This window comes from Homo sapiens, chromosome 8 (genome assembly GCF_000001405.40).
Source record: "Homo sapiens chromosome 8, GRCh38.p14 Primary Assembly".
NCBI classification, from domain to species: Eukaryota; Metazoa; Chordata; class Mammalia; order Primates; family Hominidae; genus Homo; species Homo sapiens.
The window spans coordinates 111,549,593-111,567,035 of record NC_000008.11 but is presented as its reverse complement, the minus strand read 5'-3'; the positions used below and the strand labels follow the sequence as shown (position 1 = coordinate 111,567,035).

The window sequence follows — 17,443 nt, the reverse complement described above, 5'->3', positions numbered from 1 at the left end:
ACCTGAAAGTGTCAGCAGTTATTTCATAATTACCTCTCTATGAATGACTAAAGGATCTTGTTAAAATTTTTTTTTGTAGGGGTAGGGGAAGGAGTCTCCCTCTGTTGCCAGGCTGGAGTGCAGTGGTGCGATCTTGGCTCACTGCAACCTCCGCCTCCCGGGTTGAAGCGATTCTCCTGCCTCAGCCTCCCAAGTAGCTGGGATTACAGTTGCCTGCCACCACACCCGGCTAATTTTTGTATTTTTAGTAGAGACAGGGTTTCAACATGTTGGCCAGGATGGTCTCAATCTCCTGACCTCATGGTCCACCTGCCTCAACCTCCCAATGTACTGGGATTACAGACATGAGCCACCATGCATGGCCTAAATATTTTTAATCACATAATCAATATTATGTTCTTTCTTTTGGGAGTGATGTTGAAATGCATGGATATAAGGGGTTTTTTTAGTTACACAATGCAGGAATGTGCAATGATAAAATTTAGTTTAGAATAACATAAGCTAATGTAACATATTTTGTTGTTGACCTAAAACATTTCAACATATGGAAGTTTCAATCTCTAGAAATTTGCAGAGAAATTTGATACCTCAGTATCTACCACATATACAGAGGTATGTTAAGTTTGTAATTCCTAAGATGTTACTACTGGTATTGTCTTTTAATTCATGATTTACAAAGAGACAAAACAAATTTATTTTGTTTGTTTGGCTTAGTTCCTCATCAATAGGACACAGAGGAAACTTAGGCCTCCATTTCCAACCCACTTGCATTCAAAACAAAACAAAACATAAATATGGCAAATATACTGTTGAAGAAAAGAGTCAAACTCTGTAAAATATTTAAGAGATTTATCCTAAGCCAAATATGACTCACCAATGGCCTGTGACATGGCCCCAGGAGATCCTGAGAACATGTGCCTAAGTTGGTCAGACTACAGCTTGATTACGTACATTTTCAGGAGACAAAAGACATCCATCAATACACTTAAGATGCATATTGGTTCAGCTGGAAAAGCAGGACAACTCGAAAGAGGGCAGGGGGTCTTCCAGATAATAGGGTGAATTCAAAAGTTTTCTAATTGGCAATTGGTTGAGAGAGTTACTTTATTGTCAAAAGACAACAGAAGGGAATGTCTAAGTTAATATAAGGGCTTGTGGAGACCAAGTTTCCCATTATGCAGATAGAATCAATAGAAGGGAATGTTTCTTATCAATTTAAAGAGTATGTGCTATTAATCTTAAGGCCTCAGTTTTAATGTTAATGCTGTTCAGCTGTGCTTGAATTCCAAGGAAGGAGGGCATAAGGAGGCATGTCCAACCCCCACTTCCCATTATAACCTAAACTAATTTTTAAGTTTAATTTTGGAATGCCCTTGGCCAAGGGGAGGGTCCATCAGTGAGTTGAAAGGCATAGAGTTTTATTTTTGGTTTACAGTACTCTGGCTTTGTTGTTAAAAATTAGTTCTCTTTAGAGATATTCAAGGTCTAATATTTCTTATTTTAAAAGAAGAAAAAAAATAATCTAGCTCCATCATTGGAACCATTGGAACTCTAGACTGATTTTTATGCTGGGGTACAGGTTGGTGGACATTGTGGTCTTGAGTAATCTTATCAGAGCAGTCTAACTGAGGAGTCTGAAAATGCTGAAAAAGGTAGGGCTTTAGTTTGGATAACACAGTATGAAGCACACTAACTAAACTTAGCAAAACTAAGTGTTCATGGGAATTTCCCATGAAATCGTTCTGCTTCAGAAGATAATGGTAGTTGTGAACATTAACCTTGAAGATAGTTCAAATTCCCACTCTTTATAGTAAGATTTCCATGCCCCATGATCCTCCTCTGTGCAATGTAGCAGCAAGGATCAATAATAGTTGCCTCAGAAACTTTAGGGCTTCACAGATTTTTAGAGAAGAAAAAAAATTGAGGCCAGGGAAATTATCATTTTTGGACTAAGGAACACTTCAGAATTTTTAGATTATTTAAATAAGTGGAGATATTTTAAAACCCAAAGAAGTACTTCCTAGTATTTGATCTGTTGGAGGCTCTTTCTAGTCTTAATTTAACTTTAAAAAATATAATGCTATGACAATATTTGTTCAGTAAATATTGACATGCATGAAGTCTTTACTGTAATTTAATTTAATTTCAGACTTTTTAATAAGTCCTTTTAAAAATAATTATAAGAATATACACACACACACTCACATACACCCACACAGACAGAAGCCCATTCTAGGCATTTTCAATATATATTTTTTGAATAATTAAATCTAGATCAATAATAAAGCAACAAATTGAAATATTTCATCTACCTATAAAACCAATGATTTAAGTTGACAAAAACTGTCAAACAACTTTTTCAGAATTCTGGAATCTGAAAAATAAAGAGAGATTTGCAACAACCAAGGAAATTCTCAGTGAAAAAAGAAGCTGCTAAAGTTTGGTGAGAGAGCATGGCAACACTTTCCCACCTATTATCATCCACTCCAAAGCCCAGGGGTGACCTTGGGGAAAGGGATCCACATTCCTCGTGCAGCTTGGTGGTGCCAGAGAGGTAAATATGAACCTTGTTCTTAACATTTTGTGTTTATGTGTTATGACCTTTCTGCTCCATAGAAGACCAGTACAGAGGCTTGGCATGGTTTCATCACCTATCTTTAAACTTTATCAGGGCTGAGGCAGCCTTTTGGGTGAAGTTTCTTGAAAACATCCAAAGGCAAAAATACTGGCCCCACCACCCTGAGACAAGCAGCAGACAGACTGGAGGCCCGGGAAGGAAGAAGCTAAGGAAGGAAATACATAAGTGAAAAAGAATTTCCCATAAAAAAGAATTTCCACAAATTCTAGAAAATCTATAAGGTCATGCACATGCCCACGGTTGGAAATATGCTCAGAGAAAACTCTGTAAACCAAAAGTATCTGAGACACGTCTCAATCAATATAGAAGCTTCGGTAGTCAAAAGAGTTTGATATTGGTATAAGTATAGACATAAATAGATAAATAGAATTAATTAATAGTCTGTAAGTAAACCCATAGATATGTGATATCGATATGTAATCAGTTGGTTTTTGGCAATGGTACCAACACACCAACACCATTGCCTTGTCGGGGGGAAACAATAGTCTCTTTAACAAATGGTGATGGAAAAATTTGATATCTTCATGAAAAAAATTAAGTTAGACTTTTACCTCACACCAAATATAGAACAATTCAAAATCAATCAAAAGCCTAAATATCAAAGCTAAAAGTATAAAACTGATAGAATAAAACATACGGATACATCTTCAGGACTTTAGATTTGGCAATTATTTCTTAGATATGACACACAAAGCACAATCAACAAAAACAAAGTATACAAGTTCGACATTTTTAAAATTTAACATGTTTGTGCATTAAAAAATACCATCAACAGAGTGATAAGACAAACTACCAGAGACAAAATATTCATAAGTTATGTATCTGATAGGAATCTAGTCTCTAAATTATAAATCTTAATAGAAATTTGCCTAGAACTTTATCAAATACCAATGTTTACAAAGGTATTTGGTCATATAATATCCACTTTCTATTTTAGTTATCCTTGGTAAAAGAAGGAAATAGATTATAGGCATATATTTAAACCATTTCTTCCCACAACCATTTAATTTTTTAAAATTATTTGCACCATATGTTTATCTCATATGTGAAAATTGACTCTATTATCTGAAACAACATCATCCTCTCTTCTTTCACTGACATTTGATATGCATGTGTGTTTTAGACATTCTCAGTCAATATTGTAAGCCCCCATAAAATGGGCTATGCGTTATTTGACACAGCCCTGGGTTAGCCTCCCACATTGCCTGGCATGTAGCAATCAATTTATAATGTTTGTGAAATGGCAGAGGAATAAAGGAATTTCATGAGAAACATTGCATAATCAGGATTTATTAAAAGTTTATAAAATTAAAACAGTGCTATATAGTGATCAGATGACAACACCTGAGCAATAGAAAATTAAAAATAGCTTTTCTCTATAAGTTATTTTACTTATATAATATATATAATTATATAATTTATATAATATAAATTAAAGGAAATTTTTGGGCAGTAAGCAACAATTTCTTTTTAATTGAAAATTATATAGAGATGATTATAGATCCACATGTAATAATAAGAAATAACACAGAAATACTCACTGTATCCTATACCCAGTGTTTCCCAAAGGTAACTTCTCGCAAAACTATATTACAAGATCACACCAGGGTTAGACATTTATACCATATACTTATCTTTTTCAGATTTCTCTAGTCTTATCTTTACTGGTTTGTATCTGGCTGTCTGTATTTAGTTCTATCCAATTTTATCATATGTGTAGGTTTTTGTAACTACCACCAGTCAAATACAGAACAGTTCCATCACTTTTAGGATCCCTCCTGAAAAGTAACTACCTTTTCTTTTCTTTTTTTTTTTTTTTTTTTTTTGAGACAGAGTCTCGCTCTGTCGCCCAGGCTGGAGTACGGTGGCATGATCTCGGCTCACTGCAACCTCCGCCTCCCAGGTTCAAGCAATTCTCCTGCGTCAGCCTCCCTAGTAGCTGCGACTACAGGCGCCTGCCACCACGCCCGGCTAATTTTTTGTATTTTTAGTATTTTTAGTAGAGACAGGGTTTCACTGTGTTAACCAGGATGGTCTCGATCTCCTGACCTCATGATCTGCCCACCTCGGCCTCCCGAAGTGCTGGGATTACCGGTGTGAGTCACCGCGACCAGCCAGTAACTACTTTTTAATTAGTGATTGCATGTTACTTTTTCAAACATATTAACTAAAGATGGATTCACCACAATAAGGTGTATGAATAAGCCATTTTTACTTCTAATCACTTATTATATATCTAATTTTTTGCTGACATCAAGTATGTTAAAAAGAGATCACATTACTTAAGAAATTGTATTTTTATGCATGTGTGTGTGCACACACAGATTTACATAATCCTAAAGAGATCATCCTGCAAATTACTTTTTATTTTTTATAATAACTCTAGGATAAGGAATGCAATCAATATCTTGGGGAAAATGGTTGGATAATAAATACAATTTTGACACAAATTATGTACTACTTTCACTTTGATTCCCTGACTGAGAAAATCCACTTAAAATGTGATAAAATAAAATTACCTCCTTTGCTCAGAAGCTGGGCTCATGTAATTTCAACATCAATATCTTTCAGGCCCGGTGTTCCCAGCAATACCTTTCCATAGAATATAACACAATAAAAGCTAAGGGGAGGGCTGAGCTGCCATTCAATTTAAAACGTACCTTAAGAGCAGGCTTCCATAATTATTACTCACATTCTACATGAGACAAGATGCCAGTTCATAAAGTGATTGGGGAAATGAGATTAAAAAGAGCAGAAAGAGTAAATCTGTCAAATACATTCTTTTGTGGTTTGCTGCTCAATTTACCCTCCTAAAAAAAGACAATGTAGAATTGACTTTTTTAACCATACACAGACAATTTTAAAGATAAAAAAGAAAATTAACAGCTGGAGGTTTCTAGTAGAGCTGGCTAAACTTCTTAACCAATGTTATTTCAATAAATAAGGTTGCAAAGAGATACAAGAATGCCATATGTTATGCTTTTTATTGTCAATTAATGATTTTCCAGCTATACTAATACAGAAGATAGATTTATTTGCTCAAAATTAAAATAATACCTCAGATCTTTAGATTTACATTAATTTCTATTACTCAAAAATTTCCTTTCTATACATTAGACAACTAAGAAGTAGCTAAATCATAGCCATGGTCATAGTTAAAGGAAGTTGAGAAATAAATGAAAAAGATTATGAAAAATTATCCACTTAGTAACAGCAGTAGACAGGTTTAGAAGTTCTCGTAACAAAAATATAAAATTATTATTTTTTTATAGATTCAGGTAGTAAATTTTTAGGTTTGTTCACATGGATATATTGCACTGTGGTGGAGTTTGGGTTTTTGGTGTATCCATCACCCAAATAGTGAACATTGTGCCTATAAATAATTTTTCCAACCTCTACTTCCTCTCGCCCTTCTCCCTTTGGGAGTCACCAGTGTCTATTAATTCCCTCTGTGTGACTATGTGTACCCATCGTTTAGCTCCCACTTGCAAGTAAGAACATGCAGTATTTAATTAAAAAGTCTGTCTGCCACATAGTTAAGTGCTTGAAAGAAGTATCCACATTTTTATTACAATGAATTATTTTATTATGCACTAACCAATCATTTGGGAATTTTCCATTAAAAACTAGTTTATATAAATAATTTTCAACAAACAACTTCAATACTACCAATCTATCAACCTTCATAATTACCTAATAAATAATAAAATCTATAGCTGGTATTGGTATGGGACCATCCTGATGTATTTTCTTAGTGATTGTTTTGGTTATACATCATTATGTAATAAACAAGTTCTCAAATGTAGTGGGCTCTGGAGGTTAATTGAGCTCAGTTGTGTAGTTTTTTCTTTGGATTTTCATGAGGTTGTAATTAGATGTCAGCTAGAGACACACTCATTTGAAGGCTTAAAAGGGCTAGCTGTCCAGATGATTCACCTACATAGCTGATAATTGATGTTAGCTGAAGGCTGTGAGCTCAGCCATCGATGATAACCATTTTGCTTGGGCTTCTTCAAGTACAACGGTTGTAACAAGGAATTTCTTGAGAGAGATTTGTATGAGAATGAACATATATGGACTGAATGGGGAAGAAAGCCTAGGATGGAGTTTTGATGAATAGCAATATTTTTCAAATGGGCACAGAAAATGAGTCCAAGAAAAACATAGAGGTAAGCTAGAGGCACAGAAAGAAAATAAAAACATTCTGTCGTGGAAGAAGAATTTGATCAAACAGCAATAAGAGGTCAGGGATATAAGAATTAAATTCTGTGTTTATTGCTTAACAACAGGCAGATTATTGCAGAATTTGGTGAAAGCAGAAGAATCATATTCACAAGAGTGAGGAATAATGGGAAAGTGTGGAAAAGTATTGATGACTTTAAAACAAAAGAAAAAGACAAGGTAGCAGTGGAAGTTGACATATACTAAAGAATTCCTTGGACATTTTCTTTTTGCTGTATTATACCTTTTTTTAAGAAAGGAGTAACATATCTGTAATAGTGATAAAAGGAAATCAATAAACATCAATGTTGAGGACACAAGAGACAAAAAGGAAAACCTATGATTTGAAGTATCTTAAAATCTTCGTATTTTTCATATCATGCTGTGAAAACACTGCTATGATTAGTGACTTGTAATGTAAGGATGCTTTGTTTAGAAACCACACATTATGGTTGAACTCTATACTCATTTTTGTTACAAAAATATATTTCCACTTTAATTTTATATAACTTGCTTCTTTTTTTTAGACTCAATTATAATTTTTCTTATTTTCATTTATAAATAATTTCCATATATATATATCCTAATCTAACTTATATACACATTACCACATACATTTTTCAGAAAAATTTTATTAGATATAAAGAAAACATTTGAGAAAAAGCAGAGGTCTTATGTTACACATTAAATTATATCAAGATAATGCACAAAACTAAATTGTCTGAATGCTATTGTGTGTCAGGAAATATCATTTAGGTTAACAAAATAAGTGTCAAGAGTAGAAGTAAATGTATTTCATGTCAAAGATATAAATAAATTATAAATAATTTATAATATTAAATAGCAGTAATTAGTTTATATGATCTCTCATTTTAAGAATACATATGAACATTAATCAAAGTGACACTTTATTTTTTGTTTTTATTGTTGAAGTAGATGATGACTTTGGATCCTTTCTGTTTATTAGTCTATGGATAGTCATTAATATTTATACAAAACTTTGCTGCCTTTTATTAATAAAATTCGGGCAATAGGTGCATTTCCATGAATAAAAAAGTAAATTATTTTGTGGATTGGGATATTTACTGCCAAATGAGAACATCAGAATCAATAAAATCCTAGTTGGATGTTTTACATAAACCTTTGTTTTATTTCTGAAGCTACTGTCATATTATACATACTTTGCCTATATTATTTGCCTAGATTGAAGGATTATGATCTCAGTGACCTTTATTTCAGGATGAGTTAACAAGATTGATTTAAAGATCTGTCACATAGGAGCTATAAAGTGTTTGTCAAAATGCAATCATGATTATGAATAATTTATTGATATAAACTTTTCACAGCAAAGCAGAAAGTTCACATTTTCTCATTTTAATAATACTTTGCTACAAGATAAGTGATTTGCTAACTATTAGGTAATCTATTTCATAGCATAGATAATTTACATTATTTTAATTGTCCCCAGAAACATTAATACATTTTAAAAAGTAAAACAGCATAAGCTAAAACTAAAAATATCAATTATAATAATGGAATAAATGTGGTAATGCATTTTAATTTTTTTAAATTACATATATTCATGGGGTTCAAGTGCAATTTTGCTACATTGACACATTGCAGAGTGGAGAAGTGACATCTTTCAGGGCATCCATCACTGAAATAATGCACATTGTACCTGACAACAACTGCCATCATTCCACATTTCAGTATCTAAATTCTAATACCACTACAAAATTATAAGACAAAAGACTGTATAAAGAGAATTTTTTCAGATTTATATTTTGTATAAACATAATTTATTGATGTAAAATTTGGATCATGATATCTGATAGATAAATACACATGCAATCTGCAAAATCTTATCTCAAAATAAATATACACACGTGAATATATATTTATATCATGGACTCATAGATTTCTACAAAATCTTATTAATATGGGAAAAACTATTGAGTGAAAGTATTTTATTTTTTTCTAAATGTCTTTCTTGCTTTATGATTTATTGTCACACCTTTTTAATCTTTGAATAATTTTTGTTCATTTTTATTACTTTTTTCATTTCTTTCTTTCTCAAATAGTCCACAAAGTTGTATTTTTTATCCAAAAACTTATAAATACTATCATTCTCCTGAATTCTCTGGTGGAATCACTTTGATGATATATTATGGCAATACATCATCAAGTAGCTATTGTACTACTATTGTATTATTGTAATACATCAAAAAACACTGTCATTCTGATGTTACAGTAATATAATGAATCATAAGAATAATTATAGTAGATCCATTATAATGGCTTTTTTGAAGTAGTAGAGTTAAGTTAAAATATGGACAAAATTAAAATGGACTACATATGCTACTGGTTAAGTAATAATTTATACATTTATCTTCATATCACAATGAAATAGAATTTTCAGTGTGTTTAGTCATGTGTGTTGGGGTGACTGAGCTCTCATAAATTAACTACTGTGACTCTTTATTGGCTTCATTTCTAATTTCTTAAACAATACCACACAACCAAAGGAAACATTGAGGCAAGATCCTGAAAGCTACCATTGTACTAATTAAATTACTCTAGACATTGCAAAATCTCTTCAAGTTTTTTGTGCAGTTTTCCTGATAAATTGTTGTTAAGATCAAATATTGTCTCTATTTGCAGATGACTTGATTGTATATTTAGAAAATCCCATGGTCTCAGCCCCAAAATTCCTTAAGCTGATAAACAACTCAGCAAAGTCTCAGGATACAAAATCAATGTGCAAAAATCACAAGCATTCTATACACCAATAATAGACAAGCAGAGAGCCAAATCATGAGTGAACTCCCATTCAAAATTGCTACAAAGAAAATAAAATACCTACGAATACAACTTACAAGGGATGTGAAGGACCTCTTCAAGGATAACTACAAACCACTACTCAAGGAAATAAGAAAGAACACAAACAAATGGAAAAACATTCCATATTCATGGATAGGAAGAATCAATATCCTGAAAATGGCCATAATGCCCAAAGTAATTTATAGATTCAGTGCTACGCCCATCAAGCTACCATTGGCTTTCTTCACAGAACTAGAAAAAACTACTTTAAATTTCATATGAAACCAAAAAAGAGCCTATATAGTCAAGACAATCCTAAGCAAAAAGAATAAAGCTGGAGGCATCATGCTACCTGACTTCAAACTATACTACAAGGCTACAGTAACCAAAACAGCATGGTTCTGGTATCAAAACAGATATATAGACCAATGGAATGGAACAGAGGCCTCAAAAATAACACCACACAACTAGAACCATCTGATCTCTGACAAACCTGACAAAAAGAAGCAATGGGGAAAGGATTCCCTATTTAATAAACGGTGCTGGGAAAACTGGCTAACCATAAGCAGAAAACTGAAACTGGACCCCTTCCTTACACCTTATACAAAAATTAACTCAGGATGGATTAAAGACTTAAACATAAAACTTAAAACTATAAAAATCCTGGAAGAAAACCTAGGCAATATCATTCAGAACATAGGCATGGGCAAAGACTTCATGACAAAAAACAACAAAACCAATTGCAACAAAAGCCAAAATTCACAAATGGGACCTAATTAACCTAAAGAGCTTCTGCTCAGGAACTTTAAAAATTTACAAGAAAAAAACAAATGACCACATCAAAAAATGGGCAAAGGATATGAACAGATACTTCTCAAAAGAAGACATTTATGCAGCCAACAAATATATGAAAAAAAGCTCATCATCACTGGTCATTAGAAAAATGCAAATTAAAACCACAATGAGATACTATCTCAAGCCAGTTAGAATGGCGATCATTAAAAAGTCTGAAAACAACAGATGCTGGCAAGGATGCAGCAAAATAGGAACTCTTTCACTCTCTTAGTGGGAGTGTAAATTAATTCAACCATTGTGGAAGACAGTGTGGTGATTTCTCACGAACAAGAAATACCATTTGACCCAGCAATCCCATTACTGTATATCCCATATGATTATAAATCATGCTGCTATAAAACACATGCACACGTATGTTTATTGCAGCACTATTTACAATAGCAAAGACTTGGAACCAACCTAAATGCCCATCAAAGATAGACTGGATAAAGAAAATGTGGCACATATACACCATAGAATACTATGCAACCATAAAAAAGAATGAGTTTATGTCCTTTGCAGGGACATGGATGAAGTTGGAAACCATCATCCTCAGTAATTTAACACAGGAACAGAAAATCAAACATGGTATGTTCTCACTCATAAGTGAGAACTGAACAGTGAGAACACATGGAACACAGGGAGGGGAACATTACACACCATGGCCTTTCAGGTGGTGTGGGGAAAGGGGAGGGAGAACATTAGGACAAATATCTAATGCATGTAGAACTTAAAACTTAGATGAAGGGACAGGCGCGGTGGCTCACGCCTGTAATCCCAGCACTTTGGGAGGCCAAGGCGGGAGGATCGCCTGAGGTCAGGAGGTTGAGACCAGCCTGGCCAACATGGTGAAACCCTGTCTCTACTAAAAATACAAAAATTAGCCAGGCGTTTTGGCAGGTACCTGTAATCCCAGCTACTGGGGAGGCTGAGGCAGGAGAATCGCTTGAACCCAGGAGGCAGAGTTGCAGTGAGCTGAGATCATGCTATTGCACTCCAGCCTGAGCCTGAGCGACAAGAGCTAGACTTCATCTCAAAAACAAAAACGAAAACAAAAACAAAGAAATAACAAAACCTAGATGATGGGTTGATAGGTGCAGCAAACCACCACAGCACATGGATGCCTATGTAACAAAACTGCACGTTCAGCACATGTATCCCAGAACTTAAAGTAAAAAAAAAAAAAAAAAAATACAGAAGGGCCCATTTGCTGTCAGAGCATCCTCCATTCCCACACGTTCCATGTGGTCTCAGCTACTTTAATTGCCACTAAATACAACTTTGGCAATATGTTGAATTAACCTAGATGAGGAGAAGCTTAATAAAATGTGAGGGGTTTCTTCAAAAAAATCAAATATTTGTAATTGTATATATAACCTCAGATTAAATATTCATTTACTTAGCTCTTTATTTGGATATTATCTAACAAGATATTATGAAGGATTAAGATAAATGAAAAGTAAATACAGAGTGTCACAATATAAAATATAAAATTTAAATATAAAATGAATATTTTAATCCAGGCAGACAAATTGGACACATGCAACCATACTGTAATGGAGTAGAACAAAAAATGTCCAGTGATTGCATGATAAATTCATTTATTTTATGTAACTTTTGGGAAACATTATGACATTTTTCTAAGAACAACCTGAAAGTTTCTGATAGGGAGAAGTAGAAGTAGTAATTTCATTGATGTTAAAAAATTATTTTCAAAGTTTTCCCTTTGATAAAGTACATTTACATTCTTTTATTCTCTCACAGTAACTACATAAGTAAAAACAAATATCTAACACTAAGAAAGACACAGAAAAACAATTTTATTAAAAGCTTTGGTAGTCATTGTACAGAGTTAAGCAAAGCAATTTTATGTAATTCAGCATCAGTTTAATGAGAAAGAAAAATATAGAGGGAAATAGTAAAAGAAACAGCAACATGGGTAAGCTGATTAACATTAAAAGCCTCTCTCTCTGTTTCTGTGTGTGTGTGTGTGTGTGTATGTGTGTGCTACACATACACATATGAGATATAAATATGTCAGTAAATATGTAGAAAGAGTAAAATATATATGTATATATAACTAATATTACATATATTTAATTATACTATTTAGTGTAAACATTCTTATAAAACTGAGATGCCTAGAAATAATGGAATACATCTTATTTGAAATTTGTATTATAACATATTCAACATGCTTAGTGACATTTTCTTTTAAGTAATGAATTATAGGAGTAAGTACTTGAATAAAACTAGAGTAGCAGATATAGTGAATGTTGACAATGACCTTGAAATAAAATAGTAAAGGACAGGTACTGTAAGTTTCATGGCAATAGCAAAGAAACTTCAGGCATGGAACAATTAATGTACACTCAGATGTTAATTTTAACAAAATGCAAAATAAATTAATTATTTTCAAACACTGAAACTGAGCATGGAAAATATTAATTTGTAGATCATATATAATAAAACTGAATTTATAATTTAAATGCAGACAATTATATCAGAATAGTAATGTGAGACAAAATAGTTTTGGTATGGTTGTACCTATTTGCTGGAAAATATAAAAAAGTAATAATCAAATCATACCAGAAAGGATTTGGTAATGGAAAAACAAAAGAAAGAAAATACATGTATACTGTAGTGCCAAACTACATTCTACCCAATATATTGGCTAAGTATACTTCCTTATCTAACTGCAGATTATAAGATTTGAATGTCAAAACAAAGCAAAATGTTGACTGAGAAATGATAATATTTCAATATACCTTGAGTATGTTGTGTAATACGATAAATTATCTGGTAATTCCTTAAATTATTTTAAAATAAATTTCTCTTTCATTATGCACAGGAGGCTATAAAAATCAATTGCTAATAAATTGTTACAATTGATAGCTAATTATTAGCAATTGAGGGCTAATCATATGCTATATGTACCTTACAATAATTATGTACAAAGCATTAGGTCAACATTACCTCAATTTCACACGAAAGCACTAAGGCTAACAAAAGCTAAATAATTAGGACAATGTCAAAATGGTGATGTTCAGAATTGAAGAAGCAAATCCTGTCACCAAATGCAGTAATTTTCTAACATACAATGAATTAATGGAAATATTTTTCTAGATATAATTCTAAACTTTTAGACTATTTAATGATGCAAAGTCATAAGATCATTAGGGAAAAAAATCACCATGTATCTGTCTTGTTTAATAGAGAATAGCAAATGGGATAGTCAGATTCTATGGTTGGAGAAATAAAATTTGAAAGAAAAGTTAATTACTGTATTAGGTTAATGAATACGTAGAATATGCATTTTGATTTTTAGGTTGATAAGAAATCACCTATAAAAGTAAATAATCCTTGACTGTCTGCCTAATGAGATCAGAAAATCCTCCCACAACTGAAAATACATGATCCTGGAGACACAGGATACAAGACACACATTGTTTCTTTTTGTTTTTTAACAATAAGGAAAATTAGATTCTAAAAGAATGTTTCCCTTGAGTCATTCCAACAGCATATTACAGGAACATAATGTATAACATGGCTCTGCATGACTCCAAATATTCAGTGTATCATGATATCAGGAGAAGCAGAGATGCTGGAACTTGCACCTTAAATAACAACCTAGAAATATGTTTCATTTTGTTATTACTCCGGTGGTGACAGCATTGAGAGAGACACTGAGAAGGGGATTTAGTAATTGAATATGCCGTTATACTGGGACATTTACATTTAGATTTATAGATTTAAGCTTACGTTGTGAACTTAGCCATATTGTTTTGGAGATAGCTAAAAAACAAGTGCAACAATACTATATCATATAATACAGTAGTTTGGAAGTTTAAAAAAAAAAAATCTGTAAGACCCAGCATACTTTTGTACTTCTCTGTTAACGTTTATAGGAATGGAAAATCTGAGTGAAGCAAAACTTATTCATATTCTCTGAAATTGAAGACATAATATACTGGATTGCTCTGCCAAAAAGAGGGACAGTAATATTAATGTGAGTAATAATATACATTTGTGTATAGTGTGTTATTTGATGTGCTGACTTAAGAAGTATGTAGCATGACAATGCAACACAGTAGCAAGAGAGGAAAGACAGGCAGAAGGAAGAAACCAACTGGGAAAAGGAAGGATAAATCATTATTTGAAAGGGACATATTAGATATGAAGTTTTGTTTTAGTCCTAAATGTCATTCTTACTACTATATGTGGATCTCCGCACTAGATTATTATTATTATTATTATTATTATGTGGATCTAGGCACTAGATTAATGACATTGACAAAGTATGCTCTTCAATATCTCTTACACATGAATACATACACATAAAAACCTCACTTATGTAATTCGAATTGATGTCAATTTGTGCATTTCTATCATAACCAGAGATGAGGCCAATTTTAGTTCTTTTTACATTCAATATTAGCCATGTCTCTACTGCACCTCAGTTCAATATTGTGTTTAATGTGCAATTAAATGTTCTTTAATTTCCCAGAATTTTATGGTTATATTGAAACCTCTACATAAATAGACTAATTTATATAGATAATAAAAAGTATCTAATCCTTTAAATAGATAATGCCACCACAGCTGAACCATTTCTCAACTAAGAAAACTAATGTAAAAAATAGGAGGGAAATTGGTCATTTATCATTTATAAGCATATTCCAAGAGCTGAAAATAAATAGAATTCAGCTGACACACTTTAAAAGATTAAAGGCAGGCTATTTCTATGAAAGATTATCTGATTAACTAGGCTGAGCATTCAATAACAAAGTAAGGTTAGAACTGAATTATAACTGATAAATAAAATGAAAAGAAAACTGTCTCCAGGTGGATAGTGAAAATTAAATTAAATTAATTCTAACTGATATTTTTGGGAAAATATATTTCCTTGAGTAAAGTAAAAAATAGTATATAAAAGCAAGAAGGGAATAAGAAAGAAATCCAATCAGATCACATTGGTAATTTTCCATTAGACTGCTACTTTTTCTTGGTAGTTCTATTTATGTCAGAGTCTACTATTATTAGTCTGTTATTGCTTGCCTATTATTATGATGGATATGTTTAGTCATACTAAAAGAGTTTCTATCACATTAAGAAAGACAAATATTGCCAGGTGCAGCGGCTTATGCCTGTAATCCCAGCACTTTGGGAGGCCGAGGCAGGCACTTTTGGGAGGCCGAGGCAGGAGATTGAGACCATCCTGGCCAATATGTTGAAAGCTCGCCTCTACTAAACTCCTAAAAAAAAAAAAAAAAAAAAATTAGCTGGGCGTGGTGGTGCACGCCTGTAGTCCCAGCTAATCGGGAGGCAGGAGGCTGAGGCAGGGGAATCGCTTGAACCTGGGAGGTGGAGGATGCAGTGAGCCAAGATCACACCAATGCACTCCTGGCGACAGACTAACAATCCATCGCGGTGGCTCACGCCTGTAATCCCAGCACTTTGGGAGGCAGAGATGGGCGGATCATGAGGTCAGGAGATCGAGGCCATCCTGGCTACATGGTGAAACCCCGTCTCTATTAAAAATACAAAAAAAAAAAAAAAGAGGGAGGCGCGGTGGCGGGCGCCTGTAGTTCCAGCTCCATGGGAGGCTGAGGTGGGAGAATGGCGTGAATCCGGGAGGCGGAGCTTGCAGTGAGCAGAGATCGCGCCACTGCACTCCAGCCTGGGCGACAGAGCAAGACTTCGTCCCCCCAAAAAAAAAAAAAAAAAAAAAAAAGACAAATATTAATGCTATATCAACTAGATTTTAAATATTAAATTACTTTCATAATGGTTAATAAGGTTATTTTTAAACTAATTCTTCTGAGCTGGAGTCTGATACTTCCAACTTTTTTTTCCTCTATACACAGTCTGCTTCTTTGAGGGCAATTTGCGAACTTTACTTATATTTGATTTCTTAGTACAAGTACATGTGTTTATGATCATGAAAATAACTCTATCATGCACAACCAAGTATTTCCACCCCTCTAGGGTCAATAAATCACATTGGATCAAATATTTTAACTAAAGTCATGAATCAAGACCATGTGAAATATGGAAATTAATGTGCTCTATTTTGATGTACTCAGTGATATATCTGTAATGTACATGTGTTGGAATGTAGTATTTATTACAGAGACATGTTAAGACAATGTTGAGATGTCTCAAATATTGTATAGAGATGTTGAGACATATATTTGAGTGGTGAAGCACTCTTTATAATAAAATATTTCAGTGATGAAAAGAAAATCAGCAGTATGGGTTCCTTGAGTCAACAAAAAAGAGCCTTGAATTTACAATATTTTAAAGGCAAGTATTAGAAACCTTAATAATCAAATACTTATCTCTCATCTTTTTCTCTATTTTTACAATCATTATATTGTACATGGAGTTGGTTTATTTCTATATTTAGTTTTTACCTCTTCAACTTTCCTATGCAGTAAGCCAGTGTCATCACATATTTATCATTAAATATTTTAACTAATCCAGAATGCCATCAAAATTTCATAGCATATAATAAGTTCAATATTTGCTGAGGCATAGAATTCAGTTTTACATACTTAAAAATTGTCAAGGCAGTTTGTCATGTAATGATTGAACTTAGCAAACTACCCAGCATATGCATTGCAATCAGGCTCTGTTAGTCCGCTGCATTTCCAGAATCTCCAGCAAGTCGTAAAAATGTTTGCTTTAGAAACAACATTTTCCTGAAAGGAAATCAACCACTTGTTTGGCTGAAGAAACTGATGATAAGATGAAGTGCAGTGCAAATAACCTTTAGCTTGTAAACTAAGAGTATAATATAAAAGGGTGAATATTATATTAGTAACTGCATGAATATATGATGTGAATAAATGGCTGTGTACTTTCACAGAAAAAAAAACAATAAGGAATTAGAAAACTGTAACACTCAGTGCTCCTGCCAATGCATAG

At 33.1% G+C, this 17,443-nt stretch overlaps 1 annotated feature.

The window, feature by feature from the left end:
* Positions 2,462-2,756: an enhancer, noted in NCBI's record as "tiled region #2751; HepG2 Activating DNase matched - State 5:Enh". NCBI's record gives its function as "activates a minimal TATA promoter and a strong SV40 promoter by Sharpr-MPRA in HepG2 cells {active_cell/tissue: HepG2}" and the evidence as "EXISTENCE:reporter gene assay evidence [ECO:0000049][PMID:27701403]".